Source organism: Homo sapiens, chromosome 2 (genome assembly GCF_000001405.40).
Source record: "Homo sapiens chromosome 2, GRCh38.p14 Primary Assembly".
Lineage (NCBI taxonomy): Eukaryota > Metazoa > Chordata > Mammalia > Primates > Hominidae > Homo > Homo sapiens.
In genome coordinates this window covers 102,964,343-102,985,078 of record NC_000002.12, presented here as the reverse complement: position 1 = coordinate 102,985,078, position 20,736 = coordinate 102,964,343, and the positions used below count along the sequence as shown (strand labels likewise).

Here is a 20,736-nt window from a genome sequence, read left to right as displayed (position 1 = left end):
ATGTGTGGATAACTTCCATGTCATCAGAAGATCTCTATCTTGCAATATAGTTGATGAAAGGGCTGTAATGCGTAAGAATCAACAATAATTACTAGAATTGCAATATCAACAGTATTATTAACAACACATAACAGCTAATATATATGGAGTATTGACTCTGTGAAGGACTTGGCTAAGCACGGCACACACAGTCTTCCAGTTAACTGGCAATGATACTGAATGACATGCACACTGTCCACTCACTCTATACATGTGAAAACTGAGTCTGTGACTTTCCCAAAGACTCTTCACTAAGGAGTAGCAAACTCAGTGTTCTTACCCAACTCTGTCTGATGCAGAAACCAAGTTATAACCATTATGCACTAAAGGTGTCCTTTGCATGAAAGATTAACTTGTAGATACCAAATTATTCAGGGAGAAGAATTCCACCATGCATTTATGAAATAAGCAAATAGCCATGTATGGTCCAATGAGGAACACCAGGTCAGAAAAATCCAGAGAACAAATGAGAATATGTCCAATGCCCTTTTGCTAAAGTTTGTATTTCTCTAGGTTAAGGAGAAAGAACCCCTTCTTGAAACCCTGCCTTGTGTCCTAATGTCATGAGTCTTCTCAGCCCCCTTTGGGGATGTCCTCAAGATCATGGAGGGAATTCTTCTCCCATCTTGTGGTTGAATATGCTGAGACAGAGGATATTGTCCTACTTTCCACCTCATTCAAGAAGTAAGTCTCTTGCACTCCCCATCCCCAGCCCCAGGACCTTATCCCAACCACAAGTCCATGGGATTTTAATTAAGAATATGAAAGCCTAAACCCTTATGCAGAATTTTCTTTTAAAAATTTCTTCTCAACCTGGCATTTGTGGTAGAGAAATGAAACAATTCATTCTGACAAGTTGCACTAAACTGAGGCCTGAAGCATACTGTGAGAACCTCTCTGTGGATCCCATAAAGTACTCAGGAAATATGCACTTGACATCTGGTTTGCTGGATTCCTGCTGAGAAATGGAGGATTTGGTGTGAGGCTGTCGGTCCGGACTGGCAGATTGGCTGTGCATATAACTGTGCATGAATCCACACAAAGGGGTCATGTTCAGGCAATACTTGGGCATGTTCCAACAGAATCTCAAGAAGGCATATGAGCAGAGATTGAACAGTTGGATTCTTGTACAGAAAAGGCAGTGGTAACTTATGGATGGGAGTGTTAGGCATGCACCTCTAAGAAATAGGGAATGTGAGGTGCGTGCTGCAGAATATGATTCAAATACCAAGATACTTTAAAGTACATATACTTGGAGGAAAGGGGGAAAAATAATAAGACCTTGGTAATTGTTAGCAGAATTGTAAAACTGCACTTCTCAGTGCTTTTTGGGTAGATCACAATAAAATACTTTTAAATATTTTAAATTTTGATGTGAGTTTCAATGTATATCCACAAAATAGAAATGAAACGTGTGAAGAATAGCTTACCATACTTAAAGTACAGTGGCAAAAAGACTGTTAAATAACAAATCTAATTGAATTTTTTACAACTTTTTATGATACATGGTAGCACCTTATTGAGCAGCATAGCATAACGGTGAAACATGCAAGACTTAGGGTTAGGTTGCAGGGTTCAAGGGTGAAATCTACCACTTCCCAATAGTAGCCTTGGGTAAATTAGTTACTGAAATGCTTTGTGCCAAGTTTTCCTCATCTGTAGAATAAGGACATTAATATATTCTTCATGGCATTGTTGTGAGTTTTAAAGAAGAAGAATAATAAAAGCACCTTGAAGCTTCTCCACATAGATGTCTCTATGGACTGCTTGGGCTTCCTGACAGCATGGTGGTGGGGTTCCAAAACCCAGTTTTCCAAGACACAGGAAGAGGAAGCTACCATTCTCTTTTGGCTTTGAGCTGGAAACTGACACAACTTTATTAACACTGTGTTCAATTGGTCAAGGCAGTCACAGAATCTATTCAGGTTCAAGGGGAAGGAACCTAAACTCACTTCTCAGTGGGAGATCTGTCAATGAATTTGTGCCATCCTTAATCTGTCACATGAGGTCACAGAATCTTTTGCAAACTTGGTGAAATCGATGGGCCCTCTTTCCAAAAATGCAGGTATGCAAATATACTGGGTTCAACATTGGCTCAAGGCTTTATGAGAAACTAACATAATCATGGCTAAAACAAGATAGATGGGTTAATTATCTTTTACAGAAAAGTCTGGGATGATGGGGTACAGCTTTAGCTACAGAAGATCATTCAGGGACCCAGGTTCCCTCTGATTTAATGGTCTGTCAATTTCTGGAGTATTGCATTTCTTAAACAAAACTGTTCAACATCATCATATTCATGCTCCATTCCAAGAAAAGAGAGGAATAGGAAATGGAGGACAGGTACATGGTTATAAAAAATATGCCCACATCACTTTGGCTCACACTCCTTCAGTCACTTGCTTACTCAAAACATTGTCACTTTGCCACATCCAACTTCACAGAAGACTGGAAAATACACCTGTCTTAGTGACCATGCAATCAATTAAATCTTTAAATGTTCTATTACTAAAGTAGAAGAGACTGGATATTATTTATCAATTCATAGGCTCTTCTACGGCAAGTAACAACAACAATAAAACCTTGAACACAATTTCACATGGTTCACAGAAAATCTAAGCATACATTCTGGGATCTTAACCAAGGATCTAAAACTAAGAATCACCTTGTTTAGAATTTTAGAAGAAAGCATTTCAGGTTATAATATTTTTAGAGCTGGCAGTACCTTTTTTTATCATCTAATCCTGTTCTCTGATTTTAGAGATAAGAAAGCACAAACCTAGAGAAGCAATTTCTTGCCCAAGGTCATACACCTAATTACCAGGACCAGCCTAGTTTTCCTCAAGGTTAATCAGTGTTCTTTCCACTATGCAGTGACCCACTCTCTTTCAGTTCACCAACTAAATAAGTGCAAAACAATGGGGGCAGATAGCTATGAGGAGGTGTATAATCTCTTTGGAAATTTTAAGCTATTCATTCTTTCTTGTATTTATCAAAAACATGTGCCAAGCACCGAGTCAGGTGCTGACAATATGGTTTGCATCATAACAATAAACAAAAAAATCATGCCTTTCGGGAGCTCACAGTCTAGTTTTGGAGGGAGAAGTAAATAAGTATTTATTATGCAAAGTGATAAAAGTGTTCCACTAGAATAAGGGGAAATATGAAATCACAGAGAAAGGAATGACAACTTGAGTAAGTCATGACAGGCATCCCAAAGACAGCAATGCTTGAGTAGGAATGCAGTAGGAGGAAACAGAAGGAAGCAGAGGACACATGGTGAGAGGGAGAGAGGAATGGCAGGCTCATGGTATGGTTAATGGCGATGCGCCTAGAAAAGAGGCATTTGCCACTCCCTAAGTGAGAAGCAACCATTTAAGCAAGGGCAATCATGGAGAAGCTGAGAAGATATATTCAAGGGAGCTCAGGAAATCATAAGATTTGTCAATGAAGTTGCTCTCAGGTATCAGAAAGAGTTGGAACCTAGGATAGTTCCTCTGTATTTGGATCAGACAACTGTGTGGGTGGCAAAGAAAGGAATAGTGGAGGCATTCTGTTTGAATATACCATAATTAAGATAACTTTGTTTGTCTAGGTGAAAATATAGAGTAAGAAGTCAATGGCATGGTCTTAATGTAGGAAGAGTAATCAGGCCTGAAGATATAAACAGGAGACTTTGTTGTTTACAAGGTATAAAGCAGACGAAATGGTGTACAGAGAGAGTGTAGCATGAAAAGACATTTAAGGGGAGTATTTGTGACTCCCAATATTTAGTGGTGGTATGAGAAACTGTAGCCAATAAAGGAAATTAAGGAGTATCAGAGAGGAAAAAGGAAAACCATGGGACCTTAGTGTCTTAAAAGCAAAAAGAGGAGTTGTGAAATTCAAAAGGACAGTAGCTAGCAATGCCAAATATTGCAAAGCTATCAGGTGAGCAGGCGGATTGGAAATTGTTCCCCGGATCCTGCATCTGGAAATGATTGGCATTAGAAAGAGCAGTCCCAGAGGAGTGCAAGGATAGAAAGCAGATTTCAGCAGATTAAAGAAGTGAGATAGTAGCCACTGCTGGTGTCAACTTCTTGCTTAAGCAGGCTGGCTATGAAGGGCAGGAGAGGAATAGGGCAAAGGCTGCAAGAAGGTACAATATGAATAAGACTTTTACTGATGGGAGATATTTGAGCATGTTTCTATGCTGATAAAAATTGGGTAGCAGAAAAGAGGAAGTTAAAAAACCTTTATAAAGAGAAGAGAAAATCGATAGAGAAAAGTGTGAAAGGAGGCAAAAATTGACTCTCAAGAAGAGATGGAGTTAGGCTGGAAGTTAGATGAGGAAGAGAATAGAAAGCAGTTTTTCTCTGTTTATTTGGAGATAAAAGGAGGATGGAAAGAAAGGTAGGACAGAAGGGAAGAAAGAACAAAGGAGAGAGGGAGAGGAAACTTACTGAGGGAAGAGTTGAGGAAAACCTACATAAATACGTTGGTAGGTATGTGGGTGTGTGGTTGAGAAAACTCAAGCCTGAGCATTCTCTTCTGGAACCAGAGACAAGCTCAGAATCTGCTGGGAATAAGCATGGAGATGAGGAAAATAAGTCTAAGGAGAAACAAAGAGGCTTGGAATGGACCAGGGGCATGTGGGAATACAAATGGTACGTGCTTTTGTTCAGAGTTGCTCAGCAGCTCTAGGAGGATTTGGTCTGGCATCGGGTGGGGGGTACATTCAGTCGGAAAGGGAGAACAGCAAGGACATTAAGGCTATATGGAGATGCAGATGAAGTGGTCCAAGGGACTAGGCTGGATACAAAGGTAGAAAAGCTAAAAAGAGAAGTCAGAGAGCCTGGGATATGAGGAAAATAGCCTGGGGATTGAAGATGCCTAAAGGCATGAGATAGAAATGACTACAGATAATGAAAGGCGCAGAGTGAGAAATGCTTAAATAGTCCAAGTAAATCCCTATGTGGGTGGCAAAATAAAGGATTTTTGAGAGTTCAGTGGAAAATTGATTGATTACCCAAAGAGTAATGGTCAGAGTAGGAGTGGAGAGGGGGATGGCTGCTTCCATTCTGCTAGTCCGCAAGAAACAGTCACTATCTCCTCTAACTAGGGGAAACCTTCTATGGTGTATGCACCAGATGGCTTTACATGTTCTTGGCTGGTGCAAGGACCCGGACCTTTCAAGGGGTTTGTTTACAATGTAATCATGTTATATAGTTTACGAATTAATCATAACACATCTACTGCCTTTCTCCTCAGGCTATCAACAGCCATGTATGAGAGGAAAATGCAGACTAGATGAAAATATAATATAACTAGCTATAGAATGACCACTGGGCAAAGTTCAAGAGTCATTCTTTTCTCTGAGATTATCAGATCACAAAGGGCACAGTTATAAATTTGGCTTCGCCCATGGAAACAGGCCTGCAGGTGCAGGGTTATATAATGTCCTGCTCCATTTACCAATGCTCTGATGTCATGGATAACAGCATTCTCTGTATCTGACTGTGGAAAACAGTGGTAATACTTTAGTGTTTTCACTAAAACAAACAAACGAACAAAAACGATTCTGTGTGTGACAATGGGGTTTAAGTCCTGTTTCTGACTTTGGTACAATCCCCAGAATTGCACAACTATCATTTAGTCCTATGGCCACAGTAAGGAAGGATGGAGGAAGAGAAAGAAGGAAGGAGTGAAGGACATCAGTAGGAAACATCTAAGCAACAAGTTAACAGAATTTGTGAAGCACCGGAAATTTCTTAAATACATTTAAAAATGCATTGCAACAAAAATGGGCTAACTCCTCTATTACATTTCTTGGCTGTTTTTTGAGCCAGAGAACCATAATGAAGCCCATTTGCCTACCTTCTGTATTTCACTTTTCCCAGATTCCTCCACATGCCCGCGTGGCAAAATATGCCCTGTAATGGGTGAAGGTTAAATACATCCGAACCTCAAAACCCATTCATATGGCAAAAAAATGTACTCACTATCTATCCCCTTCATTCACCCTAGGCATTCTTGTAACAGGCTTCTCAATTGTTCTCAGATTTGCAAATTGTCTCCCATTCAATTCACTTGAGCAGATGTTTATTGAAAACTCCCTAGATGCTCGGCATAAGAGAGCATGGACTCTGGAGCCAAGATCTGTAGGTTAAAATTTACTTTGCCAGTTTAACAAGCTAGCTTTAAAAATCTCTTCTTCAATTTCCTTGCCAAAAAAAATGTAGAAAGTAGTAATACTCTAAATCATAAGATTATCATCAGTATGAAATGGCATAACAGGTGGAAAGAGCTTAGCACATTGCCTATGGGACAGTAAGTACTCAACCGATGTTTGCTATTATCATTAGATGCTATTGAGTTTATTTAAAAAAGTAGTGTATGATGTAATTCTTGCTCTCAGTCTTGTTTGTGGTAAAAAGAGAAATGATACAGGATCAGTGGAAGAGAAAAAAAAACATATCTAATGTATACCAAAATGTGTAAATACTCTAAATGAGAAACAACCAGTATTAGCAGAGGTTTCATTAAAAATGCCTACATAATATGAACTTACAAGAAGTGGAGGAGCTTTGCTAAATTAAAAGGGAAAAGGAGACATTGCAGAATAGGATTTAAAAAATAGACTAGGAAGCTATAAAGGTAGGAATGATTGTATGAGACAGAGGGTAAGAAGGAGAACCATATGCCCTCTGAGCAACGTGCTGAAATGCAGGGAAATTGGATGGAAAGATTGGCATTCCAAAGCAATACTGCAAGAACACCAAAATGTGATAACTGTGTCTTGAAGAGTGCAAGACACACACTCTGGCATATTGGGAGAGAGAAGTCTGGTGCTGTGATTCCTTCTATGAATTTGTTCCAGTTTTCCCGCCACACCAAGAACTCCTGAGATAGACCATACCGTATTCACCATCAAAACCACAGCTTCTTTCTGTGACTGACACAAAAGAAGTGTTGAATAATTTGTGCAATTAAAAGAAAAGAGGAAGATGAGAAGGAATAAAGGGAAAGAGTAAGGGAGGGAGGGAGGGAAGGAAGGAAAGGAGGGAGGGAGGGAGGGAGGGAGGGAGGGAAGGAAGGAAGGAAACAATTTGCAATGTCAGAGCAGGATGATGTAATGTCTAGCTCCAGGAATGGGGGGGTATGTATTTGACTGTGCAGACTATGCCAGTCTAATGCCCATGCTTGTTCACTAGGAGGAGACTGTTTCAACTAACTGTTTTTGCTGGTGATGGAGTTTGGGCTGCAAATTAAACTGTTTTCTCCTCTTTCATTTTTGATGACTATCCCAAGGCATTTCATCCAGGGTCAGCCCCAGTAATAAGAAGGCGGATCTGTATACCAGGCAGAATAGTAAGCATGCTAATTTAAAGGTCATCAAGCAGTCATGTGATAAAAGACAAGCTAAAATAAGGGTGCCACTGAGCACTGAGATGAAAGCTGAGTAACTTCCTGATAGAAAACAAATGTAGCAGAACAGACTTCTCTCTCTTTTCCTTTTTCTCTAAATATGAAATTTACTAACACTTTAACTTTCCTCAGAGAGCTGCATACGGCTTGAAATATATATATAGTTTGTGTGAGTTCATCAAGGATTGAGGAGACTAGGTGATACATAGTAGGGGTTAATCACAAATTCCCTCAATAGGGATCATAGGCAATCTTGACTGGTTTCACTGAGAAAGAATGGATGCATCTTGGAAAGAGAAAAACTCTGACACGACATTCCAAGAGTAACACAGAGTGTGAGGAGACAGCAGATAGCATCCCAGTGGAACCCCTTCTGCCCTTTAGTGAAGATTAACCAGCACCTTCGCCTTTGTGAAAATAAAGGATGGAGAAACATTTATGCAACTTGCAATCACCTGAGCTTTGCATGCTTCCTATTTCAGGAGATTTTCCATCCTTTTAAAAATTCCACACACAAATCACCAGGGCTCCTGAAACAACAGAGCAGAGAAATTTTTAAGGAGTCCCTCAAAGGGGGAGGGGATGGGCAACACCAAATCTTTAGCCTCATCTGTTTGGTTTTTGTTGTTGTTTCTAAAATAAAGCTGCAATTGGCCCGGTGTAATCTGATAAGTGTCTTATTATAAACTTGAACATCAACGGAGGGTAAAAAAAAAAATGATGAAACTTGCAACTTAAAAAAAAAAGAAAAAGAAAAAAGAAAGAAAGAAAGGGTCTAAATGACTGGCAGTTCCCATTTCTTTACAAGTGTTACATTTCAGTCCTCTGCCACTACCACATGTTTCCTGTTCACAGATAATTTGTACAACATATTTTATCATTCAGTTTTAGACACAGTTGAAAGGCTTTTGCCTAAGGCTTGGAACACTTTGAAAATTGTATACCATTTGCAAGGCTTTCTTCTGCTTCACTGTGCAATTAGGTGACTGTCTTTCTACAGACATCGAATTTATCATTTATGGGAGTGTGTGTGTGTATGTGTGTGTGCGTGTGTGTAAAACCAAGGTGAACTAGAATGAATGAGAGTAGCTTTCAATAACCTATAGATGAGGGATTAAGAAGCAAAACAGTGATTTCAGCTCCTTGAAGGACTACACTTCTTAAACAGCAAGTGGGTTTTCTCCATTAAAGAAGTTAGGTTCTGGAAGATTTTAGTTCCAAATACTGTTTCCATCTTTACTCCACTCTACATTCCCTACTGGTAGTTAAATCACAGTGTAATAATCCTAAAGAAACCCAGTCTCATTAGTTTCTACAAAAGCGATTTCAGGACTTTTTGTTAGCTTCCCCTGCTGCCTTCTTTGCCCTGTCTTGCCTGAATTTCGCAGTTTGCCTGTGAAGCACTGGTGTGCTCAGAGCTTCCCCTGGTGGAAGTTGCTGGCAAAAGGTGTTCTAGCCAGGAAGGGCGAATCTGAGACTTGCTCCCAGGCATGGACTCAGCGGAGTGTTCAGTTGCCCAAGAACAGAGAGTACACAATGTGACTGGAGGTTCTGATTGAATTTCCTATGCGTTTCTGTGTTTTACATAACCTGAATTTTAAAGTCAGATTTGATAAAAGATAACTTATTCCCATCATTATGCCACTTTGTATTTTTCCACTGAATAATGCAAACGAAAAGACAGAGCAAGGAAGCCTGATTCAACCCTCCCAGGAAGAGCTTGACTTTCCTCTGAGGTTGAATTCAGCATCCATCATTATGCAGGCAATGTGGTTCTTCTCCTGTATTTTAAAAATGTGCCAATAAAATGGTTGTGGAAAAGTCTAAACAGCATTGACCCTTTTGAAGAGAGAAGCTATTTAGGCCTGCATATGCCCTTTAAAGCATTGTTGTCTTTTCTTCTTCAAAGGTAAAATTCCCATGTTAATTTCACTTATATCATGTCTCTATAATATTTGTTAGCCTACAAATCCTGAATATAGCTTTGTGTATGTTTTAAGTCATAAAGCCTGTCAAGGCAGGTTTTAGGGGTGTGGGTGGGGTTGGAAACTAAAAACCATAGTCAATTAATAAATGTGAGCACTGTTAATTATAGTGACAAGGATGATAGGTTTGTAATCCATGCCAATGGTGAGGAAGAAATAACAGAATTTGAAATCTATTTAGAACAATCTTTAAAAGCTCCTAACAAAACTTAGCTTTAACTAATGGGGGAAAGAGGGAGGGAAGAGAAATGTTTCATTTGTTATTTTCTTTCAGGAGACATTATCAACCTAACAACAGCAACTTTTTGAAACAACAAATCATTAGATTTAAATAATTTTATAGTCCATATCACTCTGAATGTTAAACAGGCTAGAAACACCAGAAACATGTTATGATGTAAATCTATTTAAATAATTGCCTGAGTAATACACTTTCTATGATTATATATTTATTAGAGACAGATTTTAAAAAACCCACACAATTATATTCAAAGATGAAGTCCACCTATCGACGACCCTGTCTATTCAGAAATAGAAGCCGGACCACAGAGGGTTCGTAGGTCTCCAACTCAACACAGGCACGTTTGACTCCTTTGCTTCTTTGACAAAACACTGAGGATAATGTAAAATAAAGCCACTTAGAAATGCTATCCTCTGTAAGTACGAGGAAAGGACGATTAGAGCTGTACAGACATTTGTTAGATTTACACATGTGCACAGAGCCAAGACCAAGGGGTTTGGGTCAGGGGGAATGTCATTATAATAATAATTTATGCAGCCGGAAGCAGCAAAGACACCCACGCTGAAAGAGCCATCCTAAATAAAGTGGAACGTACTTTCTTTTTGAAATCCATCCAGACTCTTTGCAATGACATAGACTTTTGGACCCCAGAAATCAGGGCAGCTTAAGCAATCGTTTTTCAGAGGCCTGCTGCCCCTAGGCAGACCTGCAGGTGGACGTGGACGTATGAGACTCAACACAGCAGCTTTTCATCAAGGCTTGCCCACTGCCCCTTTCAGTTTCCAGAAAGCAAGGACACAATTCCTGACGATTTGCCTGAACACCTTTCACCTAATCAGCTCAGTTCTTCAGCCCTTTATGAGGAACTTTCTTGTACACTGAAGAGGCTACATAAGAGGCTATGCTATTCTTTACTGGCCAAGTGAGGATGGGAAAGTATGAGTGGGTGGGGGAAGGAGGGCTCTCTTTTTAAACTGTTGCTTCCTTAACATATGGCCCAAGTGAGAGCAAATCCTGAGAGATGAGAGAACAGCATCTGCTCTGGTTTGAATGTGTCCCCCAGAAAGCATGTGTTGGAAACTTAATCCCAAATGCAACAGTGTTGGGAGGTGGACCCTAACGGGAGGTGTTTAGGTCATGAGGGCTCCACCTTCATGAATGGATTAATGCCCATTATAATAGGGCTGGAGGCTGTGAGTATCATATCTTGCTCTCTCACACTCACTGGCCCATCAGCCTGCCACCACGGGCTGACACAGCACAGAGGTCTTCACCAGATGCCAGCACCTTGATATTGGACTTCCCAACCTCAGAACTGTGAGAAATAAATTTATTTTCTTTACAAATTACCCAGTCTGTGGTATTCTGTTATGGAGACACAAAACAGACTAAAGCAGCATCTTACAACAATCTGATCACCTTATGGATATGGACTTGGGAAAATTCTTAACTGTGCAGTTCAAAAATACCCCACATCTAAGAGGCAACTTCCTATATACTGAGTTCGTGGGTGAACACACAATGAGAATACATCTTCCAGGGCAGGGCATGCAAGCAGCCAAATTCACATGCAGGAATTGTTCAAGAAATTGAACCACTGTGGGCTGCTTTTTAAAAACTATGACTTTCAGGATTCTGAGTTGAGCCTATTCTTGCCATTGACTTTCTATATGACCTTGGGCAAATCATTTAACCTGTAGTGCCTCAGCCACAAGAGCAGTATGATTCTTGGTCTAAGATGCAATTTCAAAACAGAAACCCCATCTTATTTTCCTTCCTTTTCCACTGCTTGATCTCTTCATTGCAATGCAGAGAGCTGCTCTTAAGGTGCTTTCTGATTGACCTGCCTGCCCGTGGCATTTGAAAGCCTCATTCCTTCTCCTGGGCTGACTCACAATGTGTACCTAGCTGGAAGGGGGCTCTCTTGGTAAGGAGACACACACATCTGGCTCACCTGTACAATGTGCAGATGTGCAGACTCGAGCTCCTCTATAGACTAGACTATGCTCCACCCCCAGATCGCAATCAGAGACTCAACATGAACTGAAGGCCTTCGTGTCGCCTCCTAATCCTACTGTATTCTGTGCCTCAGCACTTCATGCACTGTAGACGCACACAGAAGCCACAGAAATTATGCCTCCCATGTGCAAGGGGGCAGTAAAGCTCAAGCGTTAAAAGGTCAGCTTTGGTGGGAACTAGGTCTGGGTTCAAGGAGTAGGGCTTTCAGTTCCCTCTCACAGATAGAAAAGTCCCTGGCTGATAGTATTGCTGCCTGTTGGAGGACCACATTTTCATTTTGAGATCCACTGGCCCAGGGCTTTAATAGGGGTGATGAAGAACAAGTCAGGCTACATAGGAGAGCACTTGTGTCTTCCAAAGGTAGGGAAGTTAGGAAGCTCATTGCTTCTTCTCTTCATATCCCCTATTCTATCAGGAACCAGATGTCTCAAGCTTTCTTCTCCCAGCTGAAGGAAAGGATGGAAATTCTCATCTAGGAATGCTGCTCCAGGGGTCAAAAGCTTGGCATGGCCTCCTTGGTATGCCATGAGGATCCTTCAGTCATTTCTTCGCTCTTGGGGGCACCACAGAATGCAGGCACTTGTTCATAAATGTTTTTTTTTTTTTTTTTTTTTTTTTTTTTTAGACAGAGTCTCGCTCTGTAGCCCAGGCTGGAGTGCAGTGGTGCGATCTCGGCTCACTGCAAGCTCCGCTTCCCGGGTTCACGCCATTCTCCTGCCTCAGCCTCCCGAGTAGCTGGGACTACAGGCGCCCGCCACCGCGCCCGGCTATTTTTTTTTTTTGTATTTTTAGTAGAGACGGGGTTTCACCTTGTTAGCCAGGATGGTCTCGATCTCCTGACCTCATGATCCACCCGCCTCGCCTCCCAAAGTGCTGGGATTACAGGTGTGAGCCACCGCGCCCGGCCGTTCATAAATCTTAATAAGGAGCACCTGAACTAACAGCACACATTTGTCTCGGCTTGTAACTGAGCAAGTGGAGATATTTCCTGATCCACTTCGGGAACTGGCAAGTTGGTGCCACTTCACACTAAGGACTGGTACACTGCCTGCTGCCAGGGAAACCACCTAACCCCTCGTCTCAAGCACTTAGTTGAATTGAACTCAAAAACATTTAAAAATCCTTCTAAGAACATTCATAAAAAACTGACTCTACTAATCTTATCACCTTCTACTTCAGACTCCCATTTAAGCTAGTTCACCTATTTCCCCTACATATCCTGCAACTAATAATTCATCTAATACTACTCAATTTGTGGGACTATTATGTTTGGAAAGGACTTCATACATTCAGTACTTGTTTACATTAAATTCTATTTTTTTCTTTTCTAAATCCAAATTTTCCTAGTTAATAGGACTTGGAGGAGCTAAGAATATTAATAGTTCTTTTAGACGTAAGTTTTAATTCCGCATCACCCTATTTGTCAATTCTCATTGGCTGCATGACAAAAGTCGTCCAAACTTTCCTTTCCTTGAATGTTTCTTTTATTATTGTGCTTCGGCTTGACAAAAAGTGATGAATACAGTGACTTTTCTCCCACGAGAAATGCAATGACTCATACTGCACTGTACAGAAAAACAAAGTAGAGAAATAAAAGCAACAAACAACCTAATGCTGTAATAAAAGTAGAACCCCGTGGCCCTTATGTTCTTTTGACTGCTTCCAAAATCTCCAAAGTTCATTGGAGGTCATGTCCAGTGGATTGTAGTTTGTAGTGCTATACCCCATGTATCTTGAAATTCAGACTTCATACATTCTACGTATTTTAGGCTAAAGGTAAATTCAAATTGCACATTTCCTCACACATTTTCTTGCTATAATCATAAATGTGATCTTGCAGGGAGTACCATTTACCTTTTGATTGAGAGATCAACATTAACTGAATAATCATAAAGAAATGCTTCCTGAGAATTCTCTTGAAAACATACAAAGCCTAGAAGGGAGGCAGAGTGCAAAAGCTTAAGTGCTCTTCTAGCTCATGAATCTCAGGCCCATGTCTTATGTTTTTCAATATTACATTTTGTCCTGGACATTCCCCCCATGTGTAGGGAAGGATTGATGCAATTTCAGGCAATAATGAGATACCTGTAGTATTAGAGGACAATGAGTGGGGTCCTGTGGGGGAGGAAAAGCACTAAGCATTAGTCCTGCCTCTAAGCGTGACATCACCGTTACCAGCTGGGTGGTTCACAGGCACCCCAAACTCTCGGAGCCAGAGTCCGGCAGCTCCAAAATGGAAATCGCATGAAAGCCAACCTCACAGAATACTATGTTGCTACGGAGAAAATGTTTTAAAAGTAAAGCAAATTATAAATGTAACAGGCAGTCAGACGTGCCCAGGGTGTTGATCCTATGTATAGATCCAACACACAGACATTGATGTTTTTGTTGTTGGGCCAGGAAGAAAATGCTAAGTATGAATTTCCAGTTTTCTCCAGTCCCTTTCCTGTTGCTAAATGAAGATCATTCCATCATTGTGTATCAAATGCAGCATTTGTGAAAATACCTCCCGATCATCTTTCACAGGAATTCTTTCCAAGTGAGAAAGTAAGTAATGGGGTCATGGGCTTTCTGGAGTAATACAACCTAGGTTTCTAGTGTGATTTTGATCAGCAGATTCTATCCCCAGTTTTATTTGTGTGTGGGTAAGCTGCAATCTATGATTTCATGTATTTTCTGAAGGAAAAGAAGGAAACTTAGCTAAAGGTATTTTATCACATTTCATAAGAAGGAATCCTGGAATTCATGAGGAGTCATTTGAGATAGCCTACTGCTAACCCAAGCCAGGCAATTAATCATAACACAACAGACAGAAGTCGTGAATTGACAGTTAATGGAGCATACATTTAGGTAACAGCTTACACCTTCACTATCACCCTCTTCATCCTCTTCCTCATCTTCATCATCCGTGGCAAAAGTAGTGAAATGGAGGTGCAGTGATTCCTTCTGTTTTGGTTCTTAAAAAATATAAGTCAGTCAAATGTCAGCCCATGCCAAGCTTTCTTGTGGAAGATTTCAATCTATATTGAGAAAGGCTTCCATTGTCCTCTCTATCCTCCCCTAGATGTTTAACGTCCCGTGCTAACAAGTCAAGTCAAAGTGAGTTCTAATGCAGGAGAACACATACCAATGTATAGATTCCTCTTATTAAATTTCGGGGGTTTTGACCTTTCCAGATTACCTGACGTTATCCCAGATGTTGGCTGTTTACAGTGGGGCCTCAGTAACTCATGTTGGCATTTAACAAAATTTAGAAATATGGGAATTTTAAAAATGTTTTCACTTTTTTCAAGGAACTTTGATTTAACCTGAAGCCACGAGTAAACTCAGATGGGTAACAATTTTAACTAACTCAAAATGAGAGATCATCTGTAAATCATTAGGGTAGATTTTGGAGCAAAAGCAGAAATTTTTGCAATACCTTCTTTGGCAAAAATCACTCTGCCTATAAGTAAATTAGGGTGATAGTGCCATCTAGTTATTTGTGGCTGGACCATAGACAGCAACAAGGGGGAAATGTTGTATTAGCTCAGTGAATAAGAAAGAAATGCTTCATTGCAATGATAGAATAACCAATTGGCTGATAATTAAACTGGTCTGAATTTACAGTGTTCACAAAGGTCTGGGAATCAGCACAGCTCAGTCTTTGTCTCATTCCTCCATGACCCCTATAAGCTTTCTCATAGGAAATTTGGGAACAGAATTTGATGAATCTGGTTACAAAAAAGTACATCCCTGGTATATAAAATATTTTTCAAATGCTAATTCCAAAATGAATATATTAGACACGTAAGAAAGAAGATTGATACAGAAAATGATGCTCTGAGTCACTCTAGAGTAAGAAGTTACATGCATAAAATCTATCATATCCACACACACGCACATATACATGCACACATACGTGTGTATACATACGTGTGCACACACACACATTCTCACACACTTGCACAGGTTGAAATCTTGCACTCCAGCCTCTGTGGATAAATTGTGAATTCCTAACACACCCAAGATCAGATTGTAGACAGAATTTTGGCCCTCCCAAAGCACTGGTGACTGGCATTGCTCAGGAACTCAGAATGGTGAGCTTCCAACTAGGTTGCTACACTTCTCTATCCCTCTCTAAATGAAAAGAGGATCAATTTGTTCCAACTGTCCCTGTATTTTGGTTTGTAACTGAAGTTCCTTGCCTCACTCCTACAATTTCATCCCTTTTCAATTCTTTATGCTGTTTTTGGCCTTGTACTTACTTCCTTTTTGCTCACTCTTCGGGTGATTTCAAATCAGTTTTCAAAATATTTAGAGGTGATTCATTTTTCTATGTTCTTTTTTGTAGGCCACCATAAAAGAAGAAGGCCACCATTGTATTTATGAACTATGCCCTGATATATTTCAGGAGGCTGGTGAACACTCATTGTAACATTTAAGACTTTGTACAATTTAATCACATTCAGGTAATTCCATTTTCTAGATGGAATGTTTGAGTCTGTTTGGTTACCTGTATTCTGTCACTTCACTGTATCTCATATGTGTAGGGGGGTGGAAGAGGAGGAAATTGTGAAAATGGAAGAAATTTTGCTGCCTAGATTTTAGCTCAATGGATTTGGAAAAAGATTTGCTCCCCAGATTTGACCAAGATTAATAAGGACCACATATATTCAAGTGCAAATTTCATTCCTAATCATTCCCTCTTTAAATACGTGAGCCATACTGGGTTGAAAAAGCGGCTCTGAGTTTGATGTATCATCTGCTACAGAGCAGAGTTCATGTTGCTTCCATGTTGGTGCCTGGTGTGTTTTATCTGGTCTACATCTGCCCCTGGTTTCAATAATTCACTTTGTTCCAAGTCTGGGGCATGTGTGTTGATCAACGTTCTTTTTTGTTCAAAGGAATGTTCTATGACCCAAATCGCGAGTTCTTCCTTTAACTGTGTCCCTCCAGCTTCACACAGGGAATGTCATACTTTTGTTTACACGGATATCCTCATCATTTGTTTTTCCTGGAAGGGAGGGCAGCAAATTATTTTATCTTGAAAAAAATCATATTTTCCCAATGTTGTAATATTATTGGGACTGATGTCCTTAGGACCATTTCTTAGAAGTGCACATTTCACTTATAATCATCTAGAATCCAATTGCATTGGGCAATTAATCCGATTTAGATGAAAGGCCTGTTTAATTACCCATTTACTTTATTTCTCACCAGAGGACTCCAGGACCCTGATTCATCTCACAGAACCATGATCCCAGGTTACTACTGCTCTTATACTTTTTAGAGGAATCCCGTGAGATTGACTCTTGGACCTCTCTGAAAGAAAATATAATTTATTTTGGAAATGACATTGTTAGAATAAATCTCCATGAAGGAGAATAACAATGTTGATAAGCATTAAAGGAAATGCTTCTTCCCCATCCCTCTACTTTCTACCAGCTCGCTCTCCTTTCTTGTAACTCCCCACAGGAAGCAGTCATTCTCCTTGGCTCTCCCTTGCCAATCGTTTTATAGGACTGACCCCCAGCAGCATCCTACGCTGCCGGGTCCTGGGTGGGTGAGACTGTCATTAGTAGAGTTCAGTAATAGAAAGCCCACTTTGCTGCACACCAAGCCACATTCTCCAGAATCAGTTTTAGCAACAAGAAAAGAAACCTAATTATAGGCCTCCTAAGAGCCCTCCCTCTCATAAAATGCTGCCCAAATCCAAAACATGCACATATAATTAGTCATCTGCTGGCATCGTTCTCCTGTCGCTTCCAGTTATTGCCTAGCTAACCAGCAAACCGCAGGTCTGGACCGAAGGACTCATCTGCAGTCATTTGAGGTTACAAATGGTCACAGCTTTTACAGTACTTTCCAACATCTAACCTATATCCCTTCCTTTATTGCAGGAGTAATGAATGAAGTTAAGACTGACATAAAGCCCAGTATTCTCAGCAGGATGGCATGTGGCAAATTCACAGCAATAAAATAACAACATACATTGAAACGTGTGTGTGTGTGTGTGTGTGTGCAGGGGTGTTACTAGCATCTAATAAGTAGAGGCCAGGGAGGCTGCCAAGTATCTTATGATGTATGGGACAGCACCCACAACAAATAGTTATCCAGCCAAAAATGTCGCTAGTGCCAAGGCAGGGAAACTCTCATCTAACCTCATATCACAAAGCATCATGGTGGTTTTCCCTACTCAGAGAGGCCCCTATTCTTTGGTACTTCAAAAGGACACCACAAGATGTATGCTATTTAGGCAACAATCATTTATAAACACAGAATGAAAAGGACACTTGTGAGTCCCCAACTGCAATTTGAACTCCATTATTCAATTCAAAATCCATAATATTAATACAACATCATACAAGTGTGATTGCAAAACAAAATTCCAAAACCATAATTCATCATGCCACAAGTATCTGATTAGCTACTTGGTATAAGCCATTCTCCATTATATATCCCCAAATTATCTAATTGTATTAAAGACATAATTCTGACATTTCCATCCTGTTGTGTAAAATCTCTAAGGATAGACTTAAAATGATTTTCCCTTCTGATTTACTCAAAATAAATAAATCACTAACCTCCACATCCAGCTCTTGTATCCTTTTTTCCACCCCACCTCCTGTCCCCCCAGTCCTGAGCTACAATCAACTTAGCACTTCATTTTCACATTTTTTTCCCATTAGATTGAAAATATCTCATGGGATGGCATCAACTTTAACTTCAAAATATGGGAAAACTTGGAGTTAGAAAACCTGAATCTACTTTTATTTTCTACTGGTTGTGATTAAGCAGGTTACTTAATCTCACTGAGTCCCATTTTGCTTGAATACAAAATGACCCAGCTCCAAGAACCACTCTGATGACCTCAAAGAGTTGCTGTGCAGATTGAATTTAAAGCATGTACCTTGAGGTCTCTGAAAATTTTGAGTTACCAGACATAAAATATACAAAAGTAACAACAGTGTCCTTGTGGTAGGTAGCACCTACAATGGCCCCAGTAATCTACCTACCTCAGTGCTACTCACACTCTTGTGCCATTTCCTCCCTTCGAGGGCCAGCTGTACATGTTAATTAATGTCTAACAAATAGAATATGACAGAGGTGGTGGGAAGTCATTTTTAAGATGAGGCTCTAGAGAAAAAGTGGCTTTTATCTTGGGTGCTGTGTTCTGCTCTCTCTTGGGTCACTTGCTCTGGAAGGAAACAGTTGCCATGCTGTGAATCAACCTTGTGGAGAGGTCCACGTAAGTGCCCTTGAGGTCTTCTAGCAGCTTTGTGAGTGGGCTTAGAAGAGCATCCTCCAAAGGTGTAGCCCCAGCCAACACCTTTGCTTGCAAACTCTTAAGAGACCCTAAACCAGAAGCACCCAGCTAATCTGCTCCCAGATTCCTAACCCACTAAGACATCACAAATGTTTAATGCTTCCAGACACTAAGTTTGGGAATTGTTGCTGGAATGAGCTCAAAGTCTTAACATCCTTCCTCAGCTTGGTGATAACTTACGATTGTTTTCACTGGGTTTCTCCACCCATGGCTTAGTTGTCTCCTGTTTTCATTTCTTCAGACTAGTCCTAGCCCACAGGCTGCTCACTTTGTCCTGGAGTGTCATCGAAGAGAAGTGTGTGTCACTGACTCTGTCAAAGCAACCAAACTTTGGGGAAGACATACCTCAGGAAAGGTTGCTGAGAACTTGAAATTTCAGACCTTCATTCAGAATTCTCTTAGTTCGTCATTATCTTCGTGCTCTGCTACTAATGAAAAAAGTGCAAAATGAAGAACTTGAGAGAAAAGTGAAGCATTCACTTAACTCTTTCATATTCAAATATTAACAAATCTCTTTAAAATAGATCCCTATGTAATTCCACGAACAATGTTAATTTAGGAAAATTACATTTAAAACAGTGGACTACCTTTGGTTTATTTTCTCTCTTTTACTATGTTTGATAATAATACTGTTTATTGATATGTTTAGCTACATACCTTTATTTCTGCACATTATATTTCAATATATTTGGCCTTTTTGTTTGTATGAAGTATATGCATGTGTGTAAGGCACAGCTTCTGCATGCCTTTACGTGAACATTACTAATAATTCTTGTGAGCCAATTCATTCTACTATGTGCTCTTCTCTCTATTCCTCAGTTGCTAAAGTCAACCCATGGGTTAGGCTTTATTTTAAGTAGATTCATGCCTGTGTCTTTGGAAATGCCATAAATTGTCAGCTCTCATAGGCTTAGTGCACTATATGAAGAATTTAAAAATTCCTGGCTGGGCGCGGTGGCTCATGCCTGTAATCCCAGCACTTTGGAAGGCCGAGGGAGGCAGATCACGAGGTCAGGAGATCAAGACCATCCTGGCTAATACGGTGAAACCCCGTCTCTACTAAAAACAATACAAAAGAAAAATTAGCTGGGCATGGTGGCAGGCGCCTGTAGTCCCAGCTACTCGGGAGGCTGAGGCAGGAGAATGGCATGAACCTGGGAGGCGGAGCTTGCAGTGAGCCGAGATCGTGCCACTGCACTCCACCCTGGGCGACAGAGCAAGACTCCGTCTCAAAAAAAAAAAAAAAAAAAAGAAAAGAAAAAAAAACTTCCTATAGTATTCCACCTCCATTCAACCTGTTCCCAAACTGTTTCATTTCTCGTCTTGCTATTTTGTACCTCTGACTACACCTTCAAAAGAAGTGAAAATATAATGGAAATATGTGTACTCCTTGGAAATATTTAGTGTAATCCTTGGGGGAAGAAAAACATAAAAATACCTTTGCAGTGTCTGCTCTGATGGGTTATCCCTTTATTAATTTATCTAATGGAACTTCTCTTTAATATGCATTTATGTTTTTTTTTCCATTCCTGAACCAAGGCTCATGGAAAAATAATGAAGAGGTTGGTTATGTAGTCTGTGTTGCCCTAAATTTAAATTTATAATTAGAACAAAGAGATGGATGTGATATTAATTTGAGCATAAGTAAAAATAAGGCAGATCTGAGGACCCAGGAGAAGAGATGCAGAAGGTACATACATTTTTTAAGTCCTGTACTAAATTCCCTGACTTAACGT

At 40.2% G+C, this 20,736-nt stretch overlaps 1 long non-coding RNA gene across 1 annotated transcript; it reads left to right on the top strand.

Moving 5' to 3' along the window:
- The first annotated feature begins 649 nt into the window (after positions 1-649).
- On the top strand, positions 650-17,671 carry LINC01935 (long intergenic non-protein coding RNA 1935). The gene is made up of 4 exons (NR_135530.1): positions 650-723; positions 14,092-14,238; positions 16,025-16,142; positions 17,574-17,671. It is a non-coding gene; the product is annotated as a long intergenic non-protein coding RNA 1935 (long non-coding RNA).
- The last annotated feature ends 3,065 nt before the right edge of the window (positions 17,672-20,736 follow it).